Raw genomic sequence first — 22,509 nt, forward strand, 5'->3', positions numbered from 1 at the left:
GCTCATCTCCAATCCTCACATCCTATGCAAAAAATCATTCTTTTCACCCCTCCTTCAGTGTATCAAAGTTGACACTTAAAAAGCCTTAAGAGCCCACTCTTGTCAACAGAAAACCCATTCACATCTCCATCAGCCACACAATCTCCACAGAATGATTCTTCAAAAAACGATAACAGTAGACATGAAAAGGTATCTAAAATGTTACATAAATAATTGAACTTAGATTACATATGAAAATGATACTATTTTTGGTATGCTAGGTAAATAAAATATATTATTTGGACTCCTTTACTTTCTTCTCTTTGTATTTCTAATGTGGTGACTAGACATTGGGATTCCAATGAGGCTCACATCATATTGTGATTGAACAGTGCTGGTCTGCACCTCTTCAGGTAACAGGGGCTGTGGAGTGACCTGGTGCAGGAAGCCCCATCTCCAATCATAGGACATCAGTGTGAACCCAGGGAGAGGCACTGGTGCAAGAGAAATGAGAACAGGAGTGTGGACCATCTGCTTGTACAGGGGACTGAGCCCTCACTTTGAGCCAAATAAACTTTTTTTCTATTTTCAATTCTGAAGAAGAAGACTTTCCTGGACTTCTTTCCGTTTTCAGATTTGTGCCCCTTCAGGTTTGGCCTGTCTGGATCCCAGCCAGGGGACACCGAGGAAATCCAGGAGTCTCACACTGACTCTGTTGTATTTCATCTGCTGGGGTCATCCCAAACTGCTGCGTATCGTTTCCTTTCCTGGTGCTCAAATAGCTGCTCCATGCACTTGTCACGGTTTCATAGCTCAGTCTAGGTGGGAAGACAGGATAGTGTATGTTATAATATTTAAATGGAACCTGAATCCATTCATTGTTTTTGTTTTTTTGTGTTTTTGTTTGTTTTTGTTTTGTTTCGTTTTTGAGAGAGAGAGAGAGTCTTGCTCTGTCGCCCAGGCTGGAGTGCAATGGTATGATCTCGGCTCACTGCAACCTCTACCTCCCAGGTTCAAGCGATTCTCCTGCCTCAGCCTCCTGGGCAGCTGGGATTACAGGCCCCCGCCACCACATCCAGCTAGTTTTTGTATTTTAGTAGAGATGAAGTTTCACCATTTTGGTCAGGCTGGTCTCAAACTCTTGACCTCAGGTGACCCACCTGTCTTAGCCTCCTAAAGTGCTGGGATTATAAAGGTGAGCCACCACGCCCGACCCAATAGTTTTTTTAAAATATGAAATGTTAAAAGAGTTTTGTCATAGGCATTGGGAAAGGTGAAAATAGATTAAAAACATTTTAAGAAAAAAACCAAAAATGTACTTGTAGACTGTCTGTGTGTCTTCAGTGTTGCAGGGTTCAGAGAGGTCAGTTTTATGGTTCACTAAGGAGGGGCTAAGATGGAGGAAACCAAGAAAGCCAAAAACACACATCTCTGCCACTCAAAACATAAATCAAAGTAAAATGGAAAAAATCTTTCAATAAATCATTCCCAATAAATATCACTCTGGTGCACATAGAAAGGCCTGTTAGCAAACTTTCCCTTTCCCCTGCTGGCTCATATCCCCATGGATCACCTGTGTGCAGAGTGGACTCTGTGGTCCCCATTTCTCAGGCTGAGAACCAGAGACTGGGAAGGACAAGTCACCTGCTCATGAGTGGGAAGGGCAGGATTGGGAGCAGCTGGCTTGGGTTCAGGACTGTGGCCCTGGTCGGTGCTCTGTGTCCCTCCAGAGGGTCCCTCCCACATGTGCCCCGTGTGGATGTGGGTGCACTGCCTGGGGTGGCTGATGTGCTCCAGGGATTCGATGGTGCAGATGCTTCAGCACAAAACGTGGAGGTGGGGATGGGATGAGGCTGCAGCTGGGGAGACCAGAGACCAGCGCCACCCAGCAGAGGTTTCCACGGGGTGGGCAGCCCCATTTCCTGACAGTAGAGACAGGCTGGAGGTGGGTGCCAAGCAGAGGGCGCTGTGGGGTATGCCCAGGCCTAGAGAGTCACAGAGACACAGGCACTACACAGCAGAGGCACTGAGGGCCAGGAGCTCACTCAGGTGAGAGACTTCAGCAGATCCTTCTCTCCTGAGCAAATCAGGTACAAAAAAAATTAAGTTCCTGCCATCAGCATGCACAAACAAGAACATTCATCTCTTCAGCTGAGCCCTGCTGTCCAGGGAAGCAAAAGTCTCTGAGCCCAGGCCCACGTGAGGGTGGGGTGAGGAGAGGAGCCCAGGATGCTGATTTTCATGGAGGCCCCGCCCTCCTCTGAGGCAAAGGGGATAAGACAGGGCTGGGGCAGGGCCAGTGCTGGGGTCACAAGAGGCAGCGCTCTCGGGACGTCTCCACCATGGCCTGGGCTCTGCTGCTCCTCACTCTCCTCACTCAGGACACAGGTGACGCCTCCAGGGAAGGGGTCTTGGGGACCTCTGGGCTGATCCTTGGTCTCCTGCTCCTCAGGCTCACCGGGGCCCAGCACTGACTCACTGGCATGTGTTTCTCCCTCTTTCCAGGGTCCTGGGCCCAGTCTGCCCTGACTCAGCCTGCCTCCGTGTCTGGGTCTCCTGGACAGTCGATCACCATCTCCTGCACTGGAACCAGCAGTGATGTTGGGAGTTATAACCTTGTCTCCTGGTACCAACAGCACCCAGGCAAAGCCCCCAAACTCATGATTTATGAGGGCAGTAAGCGGCCCTCAGGGGTTTCTAATCGCTTCTCTGGCTCCAAGTCTGGCAACACGGCCTCCCTGACAATCTCTGGGCTCCAGGCTGAGGACGAGGCTGATTATTACTGCTGCTCATATGCAGGTAGTAGCACTTTCCACAGTGGTCCAAGTTCATGGGGAACTGAGACCAAAACCTGCCCAGGGCCTTCAGACTTCCTCCTTGCTCTGAAGATGCTTCCTCACCCGGTGCAAGAGGCTTGCTGCAGCGCGGCCTTGAGAATTCTTCTCTCTCAGCTCCTTCCCTTTCCACCATGAATTCCAACAGGAAACCTGCCCTGTGGTTTCCCATCCAGGACAGGGACAGCTTCCTGATGCTTGTGTGCTGTGGTCCCTGAATGTGCAACTCTTCCCAGCTCTTCAAATGCAGGGACAGTGACAAGGAGCTGCCTGATTGGTGCAGTCACTGCTTTTTTCAGGGATGTCTTCACCCTACATGTATCATCATCCCCTACACTGTGGGTAGAATTTTAGCAACTACATTCTAATGGTTATCGCCACAACTTTGATCTTAGAAATAACAGTGCAGTGAACATCCCTATGCAGGCTCCTTTGAGTTCCTGTGTGAATACGACCATAGGATTCATTTCTAAAAGTGAAATTGCGGGTCAGAAAGATGTGTGTTTGTGATTTTCACCCAATGTTGTCAGATTCCCCTCCAGAGGGATTGTACCAATTTTCAATGCCAGCTGGAAGTACTTGTTCAGAGTACATTGTTGAATGTGGAAATTTTTGCCAACGTATCAGAGTGAAAAATGGTACCTTGTTACAGTTTTATTTTTCAGTCTCCCGTTCTGCTTAAGGTTGGGCCTTTTCACAAATAGTTCAGTACTCTTCATTTTTCATGATTTGGTAAACTTTATAAAAAATATCCAGATAAGAAGAATTTTAGTCTTTGTGGCCAGACACGGTGGCTCATGCCTGTAATCCCAGCATTTTGGAAGACTAAGACGGGTGAATCGCTTGATCCCAGGAGTTTGGGATTAGCCTGGGCCACACAGTGAACCCTCATCTCAATTAAATTAAAGAAAATAAAAATAATTTTTAAAAAAATCCTTTGTGGTCCAAGGATCAACTTTGGGGATATTACCTATGGACTTATATCACCATTTACAATGCAAACATTTAAAATGATAACAACTACTGTCAGCTGCAGAACTAATTTGACTCCATCAAAAAAAAAAAAGCTAAAAGATTATAATTCTGCATTTCCACATGTTCTGGTGGTCAGAGACCACTTCCTTGACAAGCAGTGAGTACGGGGATCTGAAGGGTAGTTAGCATTTAGGCAGGTATTGGGTGAAGAATAGGGATATACACAAGAAACTTTCAAAGAGAAAAACACATGGAAGTTGGAACACAGAAGAGAACATAATATGTCTGAGAAATAAGGAAAGTCCAGACTCACTGGAGCTGAGTGAGAACAAGAAAAATGGCATAAGCCATGTATTTCTCTCTGGATATCTCATTAAAATATTGTCTCCTCCCCAACACACCACCCATGTGAATTATAAAAATGCCCGTTTTAAATTTTTGTTTGCATGTCGTGACAGAGTCAAGCACGTGAATCAAGCTGAGTTTGATGAGTCCAGGGCTGTTAAGCCCCAGACCCAGGTGGCCTCAGAAGGACTTGGTGGAACGAGGGCTTGTTGTCAAAAGCAGAGGAAGTGAGATTTTCCATTGTGGCTGAGACCAGTTTCTTAAATTCCAGTGGACACACAAGGCCCCTTAAGGATCGGTTAAGATGCAGATGCAGCCTCAGCAGTTCTGGATGTGGCCCCAAATTCTCTGTGTCTGGCAACTCCCAGGTGAGGCTGCTGCTGCTGGTCCTCCCAGGACCACACTTTGAGTGGCTGAACTCTTATTCACCCACCTCACTCAAGCCACGGGTGAGACTCACACAAGGAGAGCATATTCTAGAAGCACAGGTCACTTCTCACTCCTCCCCTTGTGTCTTAGATCCTTTTCTGTTACTATAAAGAAGTACCCAAGGCTGGGTAATTTATACAGAAAATAAAAGTTTTATTTGGCAGACAGTTCCAATGGCTGCAGAGTTCAAAATGTGGCATCTGCTCTTGTTGAAGACCTCAGGCTGCTTCCTGTCATGGTGAAAGGTGAAGGGGAGCCAGTGTGTGCAGATGTCAATGGGGGAGAGGAAGCAAGAGAGAAGACAAAGATGCCAGGCTCTTTTTAATAACCAGCTCTTTCGGAAACAGGGGAATTCACTCACCCCAAGTGAGGGCATTAATCTATTCATGAGAGATCCACTCCCATCACCCTAAAAGCTCCCATTAGTTCCCACCTCCAATACTGGGGATCCAATTTCAACATAAGATTTGGAGGTGACAAAGATCAAAGCCATAGCACCCTGAGGTTTGGCCACACACTTGCTCATCTCCACATTTGTCCCTCCCCTCAGGACTAGGGTCCTGACTGCTCTGACTTAGTCTCCCTCCACCTTATGGGCACCTGGCAGTCGGTCATCATCAGCTTTGCTGAATCAGCAGCAACATTGAGGGTAAAAATTGTGTCTCCTGGTTCCACCAGAAATAAAGTAGAGCCCCACACAGCTGAGGTGTGGGGTCAAAAATTAAAACTAAGAGACATAAGACTCATTCTCAGGCTCCAAGTCTGGCCAGTGAGCTTCTTTGAGACTCCCTGGGATCCCAGCAGTGACACTGATCACTATTGCTGTCCCACACATCCCAAGTGATGAGGAAGTAAGACCAAAACCCTCCTGAGATTCCTGGCTTGTGTCCTGACACTGGGGCTGTTGGGATTCCTGTCTTTCCTTCAAGATTGTTCAAATAAGCACCGACAATCACTTCCATGTGAGATATGAGGAGAGAATAATTCCACATGAACCAAATCCACGAAGCCTACACTGAAGCCTGCCAAGTTCTCTGCAGTCCAGCACGATGAAGGGAGCATTTTCATGGGAACTTTTGGGAATATGAGGGGAGCCAGGCTCAGCTATGGGTTCCAGAGACAAAGCTCCTGGATGTTTCCCCCTGGCCTTGGTCCATCACCTGCTACCTCTCCTCACTCTTTCCACAGATGCTGCCCCAGGTTAAGCCCCCACAGGACTCTAAGCCTATTCCTGACCCTGAGCTCAGCCCAAGTGATGCTTCAGGAGATGGGATCCTGAGAATGAGCGCCAACGTCTCTTTAACCTGAGGTGTGAGGTCATGAGACACCTGTTGGCCATAAGACACCTGTCCCCCACCTGCTCAGGAGACAGTGGAGCAGGCAACAGTGCAGAGAGAACCAGCAGGAGCCAGGCCAGGCCCTGCATCCAAAGCAGGCCCCAATCCCACAGATTCTCCAGCTCCAGCCTGGGGTACAGCCCCAACTTTCTGTAGGCTGAAATGGGCTTCTCAGGATGGGCAGGCCATGATGGGGGATGGCAGTGTGTCCACAGGACACAGCCCTGCTGCCTGCCTGGCCCTCATGCCCACTCCTTCCCCACCCTGGTTAATCTCCACCCAAAAGGGCCCAGGCTCAGAACTCAGGACACCTGGATCAGCTCCTGGACTTGCCCCCACTGCTTTCTGTTCCCCTGAGCCACTTAGTCTCTTTTGGCCTCAGTGTTACCTGCTGTGAAGTGAGGAGGCTTATACTGAACTGAGGAAGCTCTTTTCTTCATTCAAAATTAAAAGACAGAAACAATAAAGTCATGTGAATTAAAGCCTTCTAAGGGGATGTCATTTAATGGGCTCCAATGGGCTTCAGACATGGAACTTCTTGTCTTTCCTCTGCAGAGATTCCAAGAAAGGGACTCAAAAGGGCTTGCTTTCTGTATGATGGGAACAGTGATCTCCAGCTGAGTATAAGCAGGAGAGTCCTAGTTTCATCAGCAAGACAGACAAGGCTAGGGTAGAAATCCTCCTGGCACAAGCTCTGAGAGGTGTGGAATGAAATAAAGATAAACATGAAATTAATGTGCCTATGATGGTGATGTTAGCTCACAACTAAGCTGCAGAACCAGAAACCTGGTGATTGCAGTGAATCATAGCTGCTCTTACTGGGTGGGAGGTGCACCAGTTTGCTTCCTAAGTGCATAGAAAGCCTGGGTCCCTGTAGGATGGCATGCACATCTCTCTGGACTTTGAAAGTGTTGCAGAAGAGCTTCAGTTGACTCACTCTAATTAGACCTGACTGAACAAAACCATTAGAGGAGGGCATTTCAACCCTGAGACACTTCTATAGCAATTGCACCTGCCCCACCCCACTGAACTGCGTGTGTTACCTCTCTGTGCTGGGCTGGGCAGGGCAGATTGGGTCACACTGGCACAGAATGGGGCTGGACTCTCTGGTCCTCAACTTCTGAGGTGACAGGTGCTGTGGGGTCACCTGGAAGAAGAAAGCTCCTGGGCTGAGTCTCCTCCACCAGTTGGGGGCAGCAGAGCTGCAGCCAGGAGCAGTGAGGAGAGAGGCTGGGGCTGCCCAGCTGGGGCGAAGAGGAAGGCCAGCCTGGGGTTCAACAGGTGTCCAAGAGTCAGTCTTCAGACTGAAAATGAAGACAGTTCATCCTATCCCCTCGGGCTGCAGTGACCACGTTCTGAGGGTCAGATTCATACAGTGTCACCCAAGGACACCGACAGAAGCCCGGCACAGTGAAGGCCTCACCTGGGAAATGCAACTAGAAGAGGCTGGGCCCAGGTGTCAGCTTGGGCAGCTTCCTTAGGAAGGGGATTCCCTGGGAGAAGTCCTGAGGCCGAGGTGCTCTAGGAGGGGCACAATGTGAGGTGACAGGGCTCCCAGGGCCCAGGTTCTTCACCCAGGATGGCGGCCTGAGCCTCCTGCCACTCTCAGGGCCTTGTCCCTCCCTGTCCAGCAGTGTCCTGGGGAGCTGAGCCCTCTATCGTGGGCACTTCCAGATACACCCGACCCCTCCTGCCTCTGCCTTTCCTTCCAGCTCCAGGTGGACTCTGACTCAGGACGCAGCTCCTGTGCTCAGGGGAGATTCAGGTGGGTGGCGTGAAGCATTTTGGGGCCCTGGTCCCTGCATGAGGCATCACCAGCCTCCTTCAGGAGATGCTGTCCAGAGGAACAGGGCTTCTCACCTGCCTCAGGCCACAGCTCTCACCACGGGGCTGTCCTTTGATCAGTGGCAGGATCTGCATGGCTGGAGGGACTACTGACCACATGCTCTCTGGAGCTCATGTCTTGTGTGGAGACCATGACCTGGGGACCCTCAGAAAGACCAAGCAGCCTAAAGTTAGATTTTCAGTCCAGTGTGATTCTCTGGTTCTTTTCGCAAGTTTACGTAAAACGTTGATGAGAAAAAGTGAATAAATAAAGGAAGAGTTGAGGATGGCAATTGCTGGTCTACTGTGGGGCTGGGGGATACCATGGAAAGAGCAGCACCACATGTCAAATGAGACTAGAGATTGGGATGCATCCGAAATATGTGTGGTTGCTCAAATGACAAAACTCTTCCAACTGCAATGATTCATAAGTGTCCTACAGACACAGTACATCATGTACATAACATTACCAGGATGGGGCCAAGTGACTCGGGGGTATCCGGAGCAGGGATGAAAGAGGAGAAAGATGATGCATCTTTGGTGTACTTGCTGCTGAGTCAGGCGTCATCAGTGATTTCTCAACAGGGCCCAGCTCAGCCCCAGGCCAGGCTCCTGGAAGGTCCATAGTCCTGCTCAATGCAGCCCAGGACAGGCCACATGACACAGAGGTTTGAGACAGGGACCATGTTGTCAATCCCCAGGACGGTGACTGTGATCACAGGCCTTGGAGGCCAAGGCTGATTTTCTGACTGGAGAAGCAGACGAAGGAAGCTGGGGATTCACCCCTTCATTTTAAGTTTCTCATGCTGCCCCCAGAGCTGGCTTGAGGGATATCCCGCCATGAGGAGTCCCAGAGAAGTAAATTTGCATAAACACCAAGGATGCACTGCCCCAGTGGGCCTGAGAGGAAATAAGAGAGGCCTGGGAAGCCCAGCTGTGCTGTGGGCTCAGGAGGCAGAGCTGTGGGTGTCTCACCATGGCATGGGCCACACTCCTGCTCCCACTCCTCAACCTCTACACAGGTGCTGCCCCCAGACCCTGCCCCAGGCTCAGCCCTCCTAAGCCCCTGGTCTTACCCTGAACCCTGAGCTCAGCCCAGGCATAGCCTCAGGGCGATACTACTGGAATGGGTTTGTTATCTTCAAGCCCCCTCTCTTGTCCTCTCTTGCAGGCTCTGTTGCCTCCTATGAGCTGACACAGCTACCCTCGGTGTCAGTGTCCCCAGGACAGACAGCCAGGATCACCTGCTCTGGAGATGTACTGGGGGAAAATTATGCTGACTGGTACCAGCAGAAGCCAGGCCAGGCCCCTGAGTTGGTGATATACGAAGATAGTGAGCGGTACCCTGGAATCCCTGAACGATTCTCTGGGTCCACCTCAGGGAACACGACCACCCTGACCATCAGCAGGGTCCTGACCGAAGACGAGGCTGACTATTACTGTTTGTCTGGGGATGAGGACAATCCCTCAGTGACACAGGCAGATGGGGAAGTGAGACACAAACTCCTTTTTCATCTGTGTTGTGTTCTTCCTCCAGCACCAGGAAGACTGTGGACCAAGCAATGAGCAGGTCTGGCCAAGTTCTACTGGATCTGAGACCTCCAGGCCATCCTTTTTTCCAGCTGTCCAGGTTGGCTCTGCAGAGGGTGGAGCAGGAGTGGATTTAAGGCTGCTATAATCAGAATTTATGGTGTTTTGGGGCCTCATGAGTGACTTGGGGAAATAAGAACTGGATGGAAGATGAAAGAGATGTAGAGAACCATCACTTGACCTTAGATTTCCATACGATGGTGATTGGGTCACTCCTTCTTCAAAATATCCTACATCAGTCCCGAAAAATACCCACCTCAGCTCAACACCTGAGCTTCCAGGCTTCCATGGCAGCCTGGGATTTTGAACAGGAAAAGCCAAGGAGGGGACACTGTGGCATCTGCCTCAATACCCTTTTCTGAGCTCACCCAACCTCAACTGCTGGGAGCTTCTAGGAGCTCAGAGCTGTGCCCTCACTGGGAAGTGCTATTAGCTCCAAAGAAAACTTCCTTCCTCATATTTAGGCCCAGTTTTGAGAGTTTTGGTTTGATGACTGCCTGAGCCAAGAACCCAAGGCCCTGTCCTAATAGAGGATGACACTGAAAGGCCTTCCAGATCCAGACATCCCAGTATGGATGCCTGAGGCCTCAGTTGCAACCCTATTGTGGGTCAGGGTCTCCTTCTGGTGGGCGATGCCTCCCTCACTCCTTCCAGATCCTCTGTGCATGCACATCTTTTTCTCAGAGTCTACTTCCAGGAAACCCAAACTAAGATGGCTGGCTATCACCAAAATAAACTACCATAGACCTGAGGTGGAAACACCAGCGAATTTCCCAAATTTCCATTGTGAACATCCAAATGCCCATTTATATCTGAGTGTTCCTTGTATTCTTATAAAATGAAAATGGAGCCTGACATACCAGGTTTTTGGAGTCCTGAAGGAGATGTGGAGACAGATCCTTCTGCAAGGAATCCACCGAAAGGGGAGCAGCCTCACCCCATGCAGGGGCTGGAGATGCTCCCACAGGGGCAGCTGTAGCATGGACGCTACCAACCTCCACCCTGCACATCCTGCACAAACAATCACTCTTTCACCCCTCCTTCAGCTTATCAAAGTTGACACTTACGAAGCCAGCACAGCTCACCCTTGTCAATCAGACTCCTTCAAACCTCCATCAACCACACAATCTCAACATAAAGAATCTCCCCAACATAATAATAGGAACAGTAGCTATGAAAATGGCTATAAAATATCTCATAAATAATTTTAGATTGTGTTCATGTGTAAATATTATTTTTCACACTTTGGGTTAAATAAAATATATTACTGAAACTAGTTTACCTTTTTATTTTTTATGTCTAGTATGGTGACTAGACAGTAGGATTCACATGAGACTCACATCATGTGATTGTACAATGCTGGTCTTGTCTTACCCCTTGAGGTGGCAGGTGCTTTGGAGTAACCTGCTTCAGCAAGCCCCATCTCCACCCGTAGGACATATGTGTGAAGCCATGGAGAGGCACTGGTGGAAGAGAAATGAGAACACAGATGTGGACCAGCTGTTTATGCAGGTGACTGAGTCCTGGAGCCCTGATCCTGTTCTAACCTAGATGTGTCACATCCATCTCACCAGAGACCGCTGCTGGCCTGCCTTAGCTCATAACTGGGGGGATCTGGCAGTTCATGAAACATGGTCGCTTGATGTCCAGTGTTATCCTGTCTCTCTCAGGGCCCAATAAGACAAAAGGAGCTGCTTTTAGAAAGGGAAGTAACACTCTACTGCACATGACATGGCCTTATTCCAAAACCCCATGAGTCTACGTTGGGATTCTCCAGTGGGGTTTGCCATGTACAGGAGGTTTCAGTTCCCACAGTAGAGTCAGCTGGATTCTCTGGACCCAACAGCAGGACACTCACAACCCTGCCTGCACCTGCTGCAGAGCCTCAATGCTCTGGGCCTGGAAAACAATGGGTGATATTTGTGGCTCCTGATATATGGGTTGGAGCCACATCCCCAAGTGTAAAATATGCTACTCCTAGACCTTTATAGACCTTGTGTCTGTTTCTTCCTGGAGGGAATTGAAGGGTATAATAACATGTTCTTTAATTTGTAGGAGACTCTCAGCTGCTCCAGACAACTGAAGTCCCAATTTCTGCTAATACAGAAGAGGGAACAGTTTATTTCCCACTCTTAAAAGTGCATGGATCTCACAAAAGCTTCCAGTAGGCCATGCCCATCATGTATATGTGATTCAACTATGATATCAAGATGGTCTGAACCCTCATGATGATATCATGATAGAGATAAGAGAGCTAATGATGCTGGGCAGAGAAAGTGTGAATGTATACTGTCGTCCATTCCACCTGAATGCACACTGATTCTGATCCTATTCTCTGAGGGAAATAGACAAGACCTCAGTATCTGCTTCAGTGAGGTAACTGTGCACCTGCAGCCATAGCATTCTGTTCCCAGAGATCCCCATCTGGCACAGATATTGCTAATGCCACTATTGCCCATCTGGGTCTGTACAAATCCAAATTCATCTTCCAGGATCATTCAACTATTGTAGAGATCAGTCCAGTAAACTGAAAACAAAACCCCAGAAGTAATCACACGTACTGCGGGAGAGGAGAGAGCTGTCTCAGAGGGCACAGTCTTGTTGAAATTCCTCTGCTCCTTGGGAAGAAACAGCCCAGAAAAGGCCCCAGGGGCTGCGTCTCATCTGGGTTCCTGGATGAGGCACACCCCCTACTGCACTGAGATTCCACAGAAGCTGGGGGTGAAGTGCAAATACCGTCTTTGGTTCATCCTTGGGATTTTCTTTTTATCACACACTCGTCATTTTGTCCACAATGTCCAAAGTTTCTAAAGTGCTGTCTAATAGATAGAGGTTCTTTGTGCGCTGAACTAAAAGCTCTTGGGTTGGACAATGGTGATGTTTGCACAACATTTTTACTGTACTTACTGCCGCTTAATTACACACTTAAAAATGATTAAAAGGATGAAACATTTTGTTATGTTTATTTTACCATAATAAAAATATTGCATGCTCAGGAAGCAAAGTAATTTTGCAATTATACAACTGTTAAAAATGGAAGAATTATGTACTGAGCACCATTTTCTCTGTTGTTTATGCTACAATTCAACTTTCTCTCTCTCTCACTCTTTCTCTAATTAGCAATGATCTTCTGTCTGGTCCAAGGTCACACATTTCCAGTCTTCCAGAAATGTCTGTTGAATCTGTTAATTTGTTGCCAGGAAGAATACTCAAACTTCTCATGCTCATATTTGAGTGTTAGCTGTCTCCAGCCAGCATTTCTAAGCCAGACCCTTTGTCAAGGCTTTTGAATAATTTTGTGAAAAGTACCCCCAAAGATGACAGTGTTCACTGTTGGCAGCAGGACTGTTTCCATGCAGTAGGGCTATGCTGGGTGTGCAGTGGAGCTGTGCACACTGTGCTCACGGGGCAGATTCTGTGCTGCTGACTCTGATCCCTGTGCTTGGGAGGACCGTGTCCACTGCTGAGTCTACATCTGAATTTGATTCTCAAGAAAAAGGTCATTCATAGCTATTGGACACTGAGTCACATAGAGGGACAGAAGGTGGCTGAGGACACCTTATCTCTGATGAGCATAAGGGGATTAGATCTGCTGGTGGAACAGGAAGCTGAAGAAACCTGTGGCTCTAAACATGGAATTTCCAGCCCTGAGTCTCTGCTGTCCGTGCCCCTCTCATCTGTATGTTCCTGGGAGATGTGGACCACGGGGGTTAGAGGTGAAGGGGATTGGGAAGCTTTCATGTTCTCTCTCACCATCTCCCTTGCTTATCTAACACACTCTTACACACCTACTTTATTGGAGCTTCTGCTCTACAAACATGGCTGAGCTCTAAATTAGAGACTTTTGAAAGTGCAGACGGATGCAGGAACTCGTCCATCTGGAGACTTTCCACCACTTGAAGCAGTGAACACGTCTGTGCAAGGCTCAGAATTTCAAGTGACAGGATGTTGGGATTTCAAAGAAAACTAAATCTTTGGATGAACCACGACAGAAGAGGGAAGGTTCACACATTTCCCTGCTGCTTGGGCCTCAGTGAGGACTGACTCAGCCAGTCTCAGGCTCCTGGAGACCGCCTGGGAGATCTGCACTAGGAAACCATTTTCAGCACAGCCTGGGGCTGGTAAGGGGCCCTTACTCTGTTATTCTGCTGCCTGATAATTTTGCATCCAGAGAAGAATTAGGACCTGTGAGTCCAGGAATTTCAAAGCCCATAGACAAGGTCCCCTCATTCTGCCGTGACAGCCTCAGCTCTGCTTTCCCAAAAAAAGAGCATCTTCCCAGCATGAAGAACCAGGAGCAAAGAGGGAGCTTCTCCCAGGGGTGAGCAGGGCAGAAGCCACCTTGGTCAGTGGGAAGGAAACATGCTCAGCTCACATCTGACCCAGAATGACTCAGTCACACCTGTGCAGGGTCACCTGTGTGTGAGCATCATCTATTTGCTCCATGAGAAAATACCTTGTGTGGCTCTTGGGTAAAATCATACCATAGGTGACATTTCTCTGCCTATTGCTTCAGCCGATGCTTTTCGTGATTCCCTTTAGGACACTGGCATAAGGTAAGCATGTCAGGTGTGGGACGTATTGAACAGGAAAAGCAGAGGCTTCTCATATCAATGCTCGTGGCTTGTATTTGGGCCCATACCTCATGGAAATGGGAAAAACAGAAAAGAAAATGATACTCTGCTCAAAAAAGCACTGAGAAATGCTATAGTATTAATATATCGACAACTCATTTATTGAGCTAATGAAATATTAACATAGATAGATCATTTTTATAGGGGGATCCCTAATCCTTAAACATTATATTAAAAATTTGTCAGCTTAAAGGATCATTAAAAGGCCTATGTTTGATTGAAACCTGGAGTACTGTACTTTGAGTCTTCTAATCAGCCAATGAGTGCAGGGAGCTGGCTGCCCTCCCAGGTCCTGACTGGCTCCATGTCCAGGTAGAGCAGCGCTCCCCACAGGCAGCTGGAGGAACTGACGAGGGGAAGCTGTTGGCATCAGGGCCTCAAAAATTTGACTCAGGATTTTCCCACGTCCCCTCCCCAAGTCCAGGCGGGTTCCAGGACACTCAGAAGAGCTCATCATTATGGGTCTAGGACTTCCCTGGTCCTGCTCTTCTTTCTTCCTTCCCCAGTGGCCTTAAGATTGTCACTCCCTGTCACAGGCCCTTCCTTTCCTTGTCAAGTGCACTCCCTGAATTCTCTGCTCCTGGGTCAGGAAAGCTCTGGAACTTCAGGGAAAGCAGTGCTGGGTGACCCAATGGGGACCCAGAAAGCTGGCCCAGGGCCAGATACACAGGCAGCAGGGTGGGTCCCTACAGTGCTGCCTGGTGGGCATCAGGTAGAGGGGAGTGACCAGGACCAACTCCCCTGAGTGTCTTCAGGGCCAGGTGAACTAGGGAGGGTCTGGGACCTGGTGTGGACCCATGCACTGACCCAGGAATAGGACAGGAAACTCCTCAGAGCAAGGACTGTGTTTTCCTCATGCTGAGCTCCTGAAAAGCAGTCTTGCCAGGATAGAGTGGGCCAGGGTGGATATATGTTGGGTGAATGAGCTTCTGTCTCTGTTTTATTGCAGGAGTCACTACGAAGGTACGCTGGCCCTGTATTTGTATCCAGAACCAGTCAAAGCCACCTGTGAGTCCTGCATCCCTCAGTACCAAGCCCCAGTCCCCCTTCAGGACCACCCACCACACAGAGAGACAGACGTGCAGGGAGCCTGAGGAAGAACCTGAAACCTCCTCTACTACATGGAGTGTTTGTATTTCCATCAGGAATCTTGAGCACCTTGTGCCGGGTCTTGAGGCAGGAAGGGGCCACACAGAGAAGAGGAGTTTCTTCCCTGAGGTCAGCAGTCCATGAACGAAGGGATCAGGGACTTGAGCAGCAGATTCTGAAGCAACACCTGGACCCAGGAGGCCCCTGAGCCTCCAGCAGCCCGCGTAGAGTGGCCACCAGGGGGCAGCAGAGAGTAACCTGGCAGAAGCACCTGGAGATGGGGTGGGCCTGGGCATCAGGGAGATGCCCACATGCAGGGAGGGTCGGTGACCATGACCTGAGATCTGGAGGGAAAGAGGTTCTTCTTTTCTTAGAGTATTTGTCCTTGACACCGATGTTTACATTCTTCTGGCTTCCTGGTTCTCAGATCTGACTCTTGGAGATGATCCTTATTTTTCTGACACACATTCAGGCACTTTGCCTCTTCCCATCGACCTGGCCCCCATCTCACTGTCACACATGCCATCCCATCCTGTAGTCAGACGTGTCCCACCTCCCTGCCTTTGCTCTGGGAGCCCCTGTCCTGCAGACACAGCCACTTCTCCTTCCCTGGCCACCCCTCAACGTCCACTGTCCCCGGTCTTTCCTGACTCTGTTCTGGGGAACCTGCCAATTCGTAGTTCTTGATTTCCTTATGAGACACACAATACTTACTCATTAATCTTTTGTTGACTTAAGTTTTTATCCATTGTTACATTTTCCCAGCAACAGAAGACAACTTAGTTATAATAAACACTTACTTCCTGGGTCTTGGAGTTTGCAGCCCCCTCTCATTTTCTCATGAAGCAAACATTTCCTTCACCTCCTGATCTGTCCCTGGTCCTGACAGCACCCTGGTGATACTGAGGCACAGCACCCATGACCTGACACTAGAACTCGCAGCCAAGGTAGAAACTTACCGCATCCCATGGATCTTCCAAAATTCTATGTGCCCTTGGCAACCAAGAATTGCATTCTCCTCTAGCACAGAGGAGCTGTGCCCTGGAATGGGGCCTGTACCTGTCCAAGGCTTGTGCCGTCCCCTGTGGGAGATGAGAAGCGTCCCTGCATTGGGCTCTTGGGGACCCGTCTTGGACATGAGTGAGAATGAAGAGGGTCCCTGCATTGGGCTCTGGCATGTGACTTTAAATGGATTTAGGCCTGTACCAGACATCTCATGTCTGACATAAAATATTTACAATCAGGACATTACTAGAGAAGCAGAAAAAAGCTAACCACCTCCCTTCTGAGCCAGGATGGAATGAAGGAGGGGACTGTGGACCCCAGATAATTCCCCTGTCACCACTGTGACTCTAACAACCTCTTAAATCACGGCCAACATCTATCCCATAGGAAGGTCTTTATATCCCCTAGAAAATACAGAGGAAGTCAGCTCTGAGCTTTTCCACGACCAACCCAGCCAAGGAGCAAGGCTGGGCACAACCTGGGTAAAGATGTGAGCCCAGACCATGGGACCAGTGGGTGAAGGAAAATCGCATGGGCTGAGGGGGTGGGTAAGCAGGGGCCAGCCCTCCTCTCTCTGTTTCCTTTGGGGCTGAGTCCTTCTCTGGAAACCACAGATCTCCTCCAGCAGCAGCCTCTGACTCTGCTGATTTGCATCATGGGCCGCTCTCTCCAGCAAGGGGATAAGAGAGGCCTGGGAGGAACCTGCTCAGTCTGGGCCTAAGGAAGCAGCACTGGTGGTGCCTCAGCCATGGCCTGGACCGTTCTCCTCCTCGGCCTCCTCTCTCACTGCACAGGTGATCCCCCCAGGGTCTCACCAACCTGCCCAGCCCAAGGGTTCTGGGTCCAGCGTGTCCTTGATTCTGAGCTCAGGAGGGCCCTTCCTGTGGTGGGCAGGATGCTCATGACCCTGCTGCAGGGTGGGAGGCTGGTGGGGCTGAACTCCCCCCAAACTGTGCTCAAAGGCTTGTGAGAGCCTGAGGGACTGCACCTGCCAGGAGAGAGTAGTGAGTTTTCAGTTCAAAGTCTCCATACAACAGGAAAGTCATGGGCCACTGGGGCTGGGGCTGATTGCAGGGGATACCCTGAGGGTTCACAGACTCTCTGGAGCTTGTCTGGGACAGCAGGGCAAGGGATTTCATAAGAAGCATCTTTCACCTGCAAGCCAACCTCTCTCTTATTTATTTATTTATTTATTTATTTATTTATTTATTTATTTTTATCTTTGCAGGCTCTGTGACCTCCTATGTGCTGACTCAGCCACCCTCGGTGTCAGTGGCCCCAGGACAGACGGCCAGGATTACCTGTGGGGGAAACAACATTGGAAGTAAAAGTGTGCACTGGTACCAGCAGAAGCCAGGCCAGGCCCCTGTGCTGGTCGTCTATGATGATAGCGACCGGCCCTCAGGGATCCCTGAGCGATTCTCTGGCTCCAACTCTGGGAACACGGCCACCCTGACCATCAGCAGGGTCGAAGCCGGGGATGAGGCCGACTATTACTGTCAGGTGTGGGATAGTAGTAGTGATCATCCCACGGTGACACAGGCAGATGAGGAAGTGAGACAAAAACACCCTCCCAGCCTCGGTCACCCTCTTGCTCCAGCCCCGGGAAGCCTGTTGATAAAGCCATGAGTGAATCTGGCCCAGTTCACCTGGATCTGAGCCTTTCAGGTTGCCCTTCCCTCCAGCCCCCTCCAGGAGTCTCTACAGAAGATACATCAGGCATAAATATGGCCTGGAAGGGCCAGAATCATCTGGTGACTTGGGGCTGTTGTGTGAGTTAGAGAATGAAGGCTTGGGTGGAAAGACAGACAGAGGCAACCTCTGTCCACTGTCCTACCCCTGGATGGTCATATGGTGGGGACAGGGCAAGTCCTTAGACCAACTGTCTGGATCAGGCCCCAGAACTACTGCCCAGTTCTGCTGAGGTCCTGGCCCCCAGGCTGTGTGGCAGCCTGTGATTCCCAACAGAGCAAACCAGAGGAATGGACACTGTGAAGTCTGCCCAGATCCCCTCCTCAATGTGACCCACCTGGCACTGCTGAGAAGCCCAGCAGCTCAGAGCTGTGCCCTCACTGGGAAGTGCTGTTGGTTGCAGAAAGCTTCCTCAAGTTTGTGTCCCTTTTCAGAGGGGTTCGGTTTAATCAACCAAGATCTCAAATCCTTGCCTCAATTTAAGATGCCACTGAATGAAGGGCCTCCCAGCTCCAGAGCTCCCTGTGTGGATACCTGAGGCCTCAATGTCAACTCCATCACGAGTCAGGGTCTCCTTCTGCCCCGTGTTGCCTCCCCCACTCCCTTCTGAATCTTCTGTGCATGGACATCTCTATTGCAGAGTTAGCTTCCAGAGAACCCCATCTAAGATGGCCAGCTGTCCCCAACATGGGTCATCAGGGACCTGAGTAGGCCACTATAAACTGAAAACTCTGGTTTCTGTCCAAATTTGCAGAGTAAATGTTGAAATGCCCAATCTGATGGTTCCTTGAATTTTTATGGAATGAAAAGGGAGCCTGACATGCCAGGTGCTCTGGGTTGAGGGATTGTTGGAGTCAGATCTCCCTGCAGGAAAGCCCGGGGCAGGGGGAGCAGCCTCACCCCTCACAGGAACCACAGATACACCCACAAGGTGAGCTGCAGGATGGATGCTGCCCACCTCCACCCTCCACATCCTCTGTAAATGTTGCTCCTTTCTACAACTCCAACCAGATATGTAGATGTGGCGAACTACGTAAAATACGGATCATTCATCACATCAAAACCCACTGCAGGACACCCTGGTCAACAAAGAACCCAATCACATCCCCATCAACTACATAGTTTCCAAATTTTCCATCTCCAGAAAAATAACAATAACAATATACATGAAAATCGATGTAATTTATCTCATACATAATTTCATGTTGATAACGTGAAAATGATAGTATTTTGCTCTACTGAAATAAATAAAATATATATATATATCTGAATTTATTTGTCTTATCTTTTCATATTTAATGTGGTGACTAGACACTAGGGGGTCACAGGAGGATCGTGTCATACCACTATGGGACAGAGCTCCTCACAACTCTTTCAGGTGACAGGTACTGTTGAGTAACCTGCTGCAAGCATCCCCATCTCCACCAGACCATATAAGTGTGAACCCAGGAAGAGGCACTGGAACAATAGAGAGAAAAACCTGCTTGTGCAGAAGACGGTGCCCTTGAGCCCTGCTCCTGCTCCATCCTACGGGTGCCACATTCATCTCATGGTGTAATATTTCGTGCCCTGCCTGAGCTTATGACCGAGGGGATATGGCAGGTCTGACTGTGTGGTTACTGGTGTCTCATGAGGTTCTGGATGTAACAAAGCCCTCGAATATAGAAGAGGTTGTTTTCAAAAGGAAATAATTATCTACTGCACATGACATAGACTTGTTGCTAAATCCCATGCGTCTACACTAGGATTCTCCTCTGAAGCCTTGCCTTAAGCACAAGGTTTCAGTTCCTATGTCCAGTTCCTCTATTATGGTAGAGTCTGCTAGTTTCTCTGGCCCAATAGCAGGACACTCACTCCCCCACCTGCACCTGCTGCAGAGCCTTTCTACTCTTGGCCCCAAAACACTGGGTGACACAGTTCTCAGACCCATGATTTATAGTGTCAGTATTCAGGCCTCAGGGGTCCCTGATGGCTTCTCTGGCTCCAAGTCTGGAAACACAGCCTCCATGACCATCTCTGGGTTCCAGGCTGAGGATGAGGCTGATTATTACTGCAACTCACATAGGAGAGGTGGCACTTTCCACCGTGGTCCAAGTTCATGGGGAATTGAGACCCAAACCTGCCCTGGGCTCTCAGCCTCTCTCTTGTTCTGAAGATGCTTCCTCACCCTGTGCAAGGGGCTTCTTGCAGCACTGCCTTGAGAATTTCCCCTCTCCCAGCTCCTCTCCTTTCTCACCAGGAAGTCCAAAAGGAAACCTGCTCTGTGATTTCTCATCCAGGACAGTGACAGCTTCCTGATGCTTGTGTGCTGTGGTCCCTGAATGTGCAACTCTTCCTAGCTCTTCAAATGCAGGCACATAGTGAGAAAAGCTGCCTGACTGGTGCATTCACTGCTGTTTTTAAGGATGTCCTCACCCAAAATGCATCCTCCTCCCAAATTGTGAAGAACAATCTGGACAGAGGTCATTACAGGGAGTTTCAAGAAACTGCATCTTATTCAATTGTGTCCACCATGGTCTGGTAAAGATGGCCCTCCTGGATGGACTATTCCTCTGCATGTCTGTCCTGAAGCAGTGACCACTGTGAGAAGATCTGAACATGTTTGTGAGGTATTAAGGACGAGAGGAAACTGTTGTTTTTATTATTCTTTTGTTTTTGTTTTTGAAACAAACTTTTGCTTTGTCGCCAGGCTGGAGTGCAGTGGCAGAATCTTGGCTTACTGAAATCTCAGCCTCCCAGGCTCTACCAATGCTCCCTGCCTCAGCCTCCCGAAGAGCTGGGATAACAGGTGACCACCACCATGCCTGGCTGATTTTTGTATATTTAGTAGAGACGGGATTTCACCATGTTGGCCAGGCTGGTCTTGAACTCCTGATCTCAGGTGATGCACCCACCTCGGCCTCTCAAAGGGATGGGAATACACACAGGAGCCACTGCATCTGGCAGTGTTTTTTTTATTTTTGCTCCTCCTCTTTGCCTCAATACCTCAGGTTGCTGAGCTGGGGAGATTTTGCGTGACAGGCTCAGTGCTCCCTCAAAATCCTCCCGTCTCAATTCGCTGGGGCCCTGTCCTGGAAACTCCCCAAAAGTGGATGGTGTCCCTATAGGTTGGGAGTTTCCAAAATGGCCCCACAGGGAAGAGTTAACGTGAGTCCATTCCTTCTTCCTCATTGACATCCAGCATTTGTAATTTCCATGGGTGTCAATACTTTTGTAGCTGAAATCTTTCTTAATCTACTAAAGGTGAGAATGAATTTAATAAATATTCAGACATTAGTTGCATCCAATATTTAAATTTTATGAGTCAATTGGTAGACATAGCCATTATTATATATAATTTAGGCTTCATAAACTTTGATTAAATAGGTTTTATTAAAAACAAAGTAACCATTTTATTATGTGTTTAGACTATATCAACATGTTGTGTACCTGAAATATCCACAAGAAAATATATTTCAAAAACCAAATTGTATTTATTGTCTATTGTTGCATAAAAATTGCTCCCTAATATTTAGCATGGTAAGAGAACACGTGTTTGTGATCTTGTCACTTCGGTGCATCTGGAATTGAGAGCAGCTTAGTTTTGTGGTTCTGGTTCTGGGTTGGTCATGAAGTTGCAGCCAAGCTGTCAGGCCAGGCTGCATTCAGAGGCCAGAGCAGGTGGCCAGGCCCAGCCTGAGGGGCTTCCACTGTCCCTAACCTGTTTGTCTGATGTGGAAAATCTCAGAGGAAAAGGAGAGAGTGAAGTGTAAGGCACCTGTCCCAGTCCCCCTTGTCAAAGGCCATCCCATACCTGCACCATTTCTTATTCTTTCCTGGGGCGTCATAGGCATAGAGCACTGCCCATTCATTCTAACGCTGTAGAGTATTCTGTAGTAGGATTTTAGCCATGCAGCCTCTAATGGTTATCACCATGATTTTGATCTTACAAATCACACTGCAGCAAGCATCCCTGTGCAGACTCCTTTGAGTTCATGTGTGCATATCACCATAGGATAAATTTCCAGAAGTGGAATTGCTGGGTCAAAAGGATGTGCATTTTTAACTTTTATCCATTGTTTTCATATTCCCCTCCAGTTCTACCAGTTTACAATACCAGCCCTAAATATTGATTGGAATTCATTGGTGAAAGTGCAAGTTTGTGCCAACCTATCAGATATACAAAGTTATCTTGTTACACATTTATTTTTGATTTCTCCTATTTTGCTTGAGGTTGAGCATTTACTCAAATATTTCAGTGCTCATTATGTTTTAGGATTTGGTAAACCGTTTCTTCAATGCCTCGGTAAGAGGTATTTTAGTCTTTGCCATGCACAAGACAACGTTGGGATAATATGTATGTTCTGATACACCATCTACAACGTAATCATTAAAACATATAAAAACCACTATCAGTTCTGGGGCCATTAAAAAAATTGGTGGCAGGCCAGGGATGTCCCACAGGATGTGGTTTAACGGTCTCTGGTTTCTAGGGTTATTTGAAGTTTGAACATTGCACCCGCATATGTTCTATGTGGAGATCTCTTTGTGAGGGACACTGTAATTCACCTCCTCTAGGGGCCTGAGGTCTTTCTTTGGATAAGAACCTACCTGTACCATGTGTTTGATTGGATCTTGTGTCTGCTCAAGACAGCCCTGTGTCACAAGCTCATGACTTTCATCTTCATCCATTTGCTCTGTTTTGTGAGAGCTTCAGTATATCAGGAATAGAGATTCCTCCGAGGTGAAAAATTAGAGGCAGAGGGAGGGGCAAATGGGCAAGGAAGCTTGCACCAA

The 22,509-nt window shown here is 48.6% G+C and overlaps 1 long non-coding RNA gene, 2 pseudogenes, 3 gene segments (V, D, J or C) and 1 further gene, besides 2 other annotated features; 6 read left to right on the plus strand and 1 right to left on the minus strand.

The window, feature by feature from the left end:
• The window catches only part of IGL (immunoglobulin lambda locus), an 896,838-nt gene that overhangs the window by 669,554 nt on the left and 204,775 nt on the right, over positions 1–22,509 (plus strand).
• Positions 200–15,965, minus strand: LL22NC03-102D1.18 (uncharacterized). Its single transcript, XR_001755442.1, has 3 exons — positions 15,837–15,965; positions 10,688–10,776; positions 200–797 (listed from the first exon to the last, which is right to left on the minus strand). It is a non-coding gene; the product is annotated as an uncharacterized LL22NC03-102D1.18 (long non-coding RNA).
• Positions 1,697–1,816: an enhancer, noted in NCBI's record as "active region_18725". NCBI's record gives its function as "activates an Ori minimal core promoter by ATAC-STARR-seq in GM12878 lymphoblastoid cells {active_cell/tissue: GM12878}" and the evidence as "EXISTENCE:reporter gene assay evidence [ECO:0000049][PMID:35858748]".
• Positions 1,877–2,276: an enhancer, noted in NCBI's record as "active region_18726". NCBI's record gives its function as "activates an Ori minimal core promoter by ATAC-STARR-seq in GM12878 lymphoblastoid cells {active_cell/tissue: GM12878}" and the evidence as "EXISTENCE:reporter gene assay evidence [ECO:0000049][PMID:35858748]".
• Positions 2,322–2,792, plus strand: IGLV2-23 (immunoglobulin lambda variable 2-23). The segment is given in 2 exon segments: positions 2,322–2,367; positions 2,485–2,792. Coding segments are annotated over 2 exon segments (354 nt in total).
• On the plus strand, positions 5,123–5,412 carry IGLVVI-22-1 (immunoglobulin lambda variable (VI)-22-1 (pseudogene); annotated as a pseudogene). The gene is given in 1 exon segment: positions 5,123–5,412. A coding segment is annotated over 1 exon segment (290 nt).
• IGLV3-22 (immunoglobulin lambda variable 3-22) lies at positions 8,700–9,189 on the plus strand. The segment is given in 2 exon segments: positions 8,700–8,745; positions 8,895–9,189. Coding segments are annotated over 2 exon segments (341 nt in total).
• On the plus strand, positions 16,790–17,570 carry IGLV3-21 (immunoglobulin lambda variable 3-21). The segment is given in 2 exon segments: positions 16,790–16,835; positions 17,270–17,570. Coding segments are annotated over 2 exon segments (347 nt in total).
• On the plus strand, positions 19,529–19,814 carry IGLVI-20 (immunoglobulin lambda variable (I)-20 (pseudogene); annotated as a pseudogene). The gene is given in 1 exon segment: positions 19,529–19,814. A coding segment is annotated over 1 exon segment (286 nt).

This window comes from Homo sapiens, chromosome 22 (genome assembly GCF_000001405.40).
Source record: "Homo sapiens chromosome 22, GRCh38.p14 Primary Assembly".
In the NCBI taxonomy this organism is placed as follows: domain Eukaryota; kingdom Metazoa; phylum Chordata; class Mammalia; order Primates; family Hominidae; genus Homo; species Homo sapiens.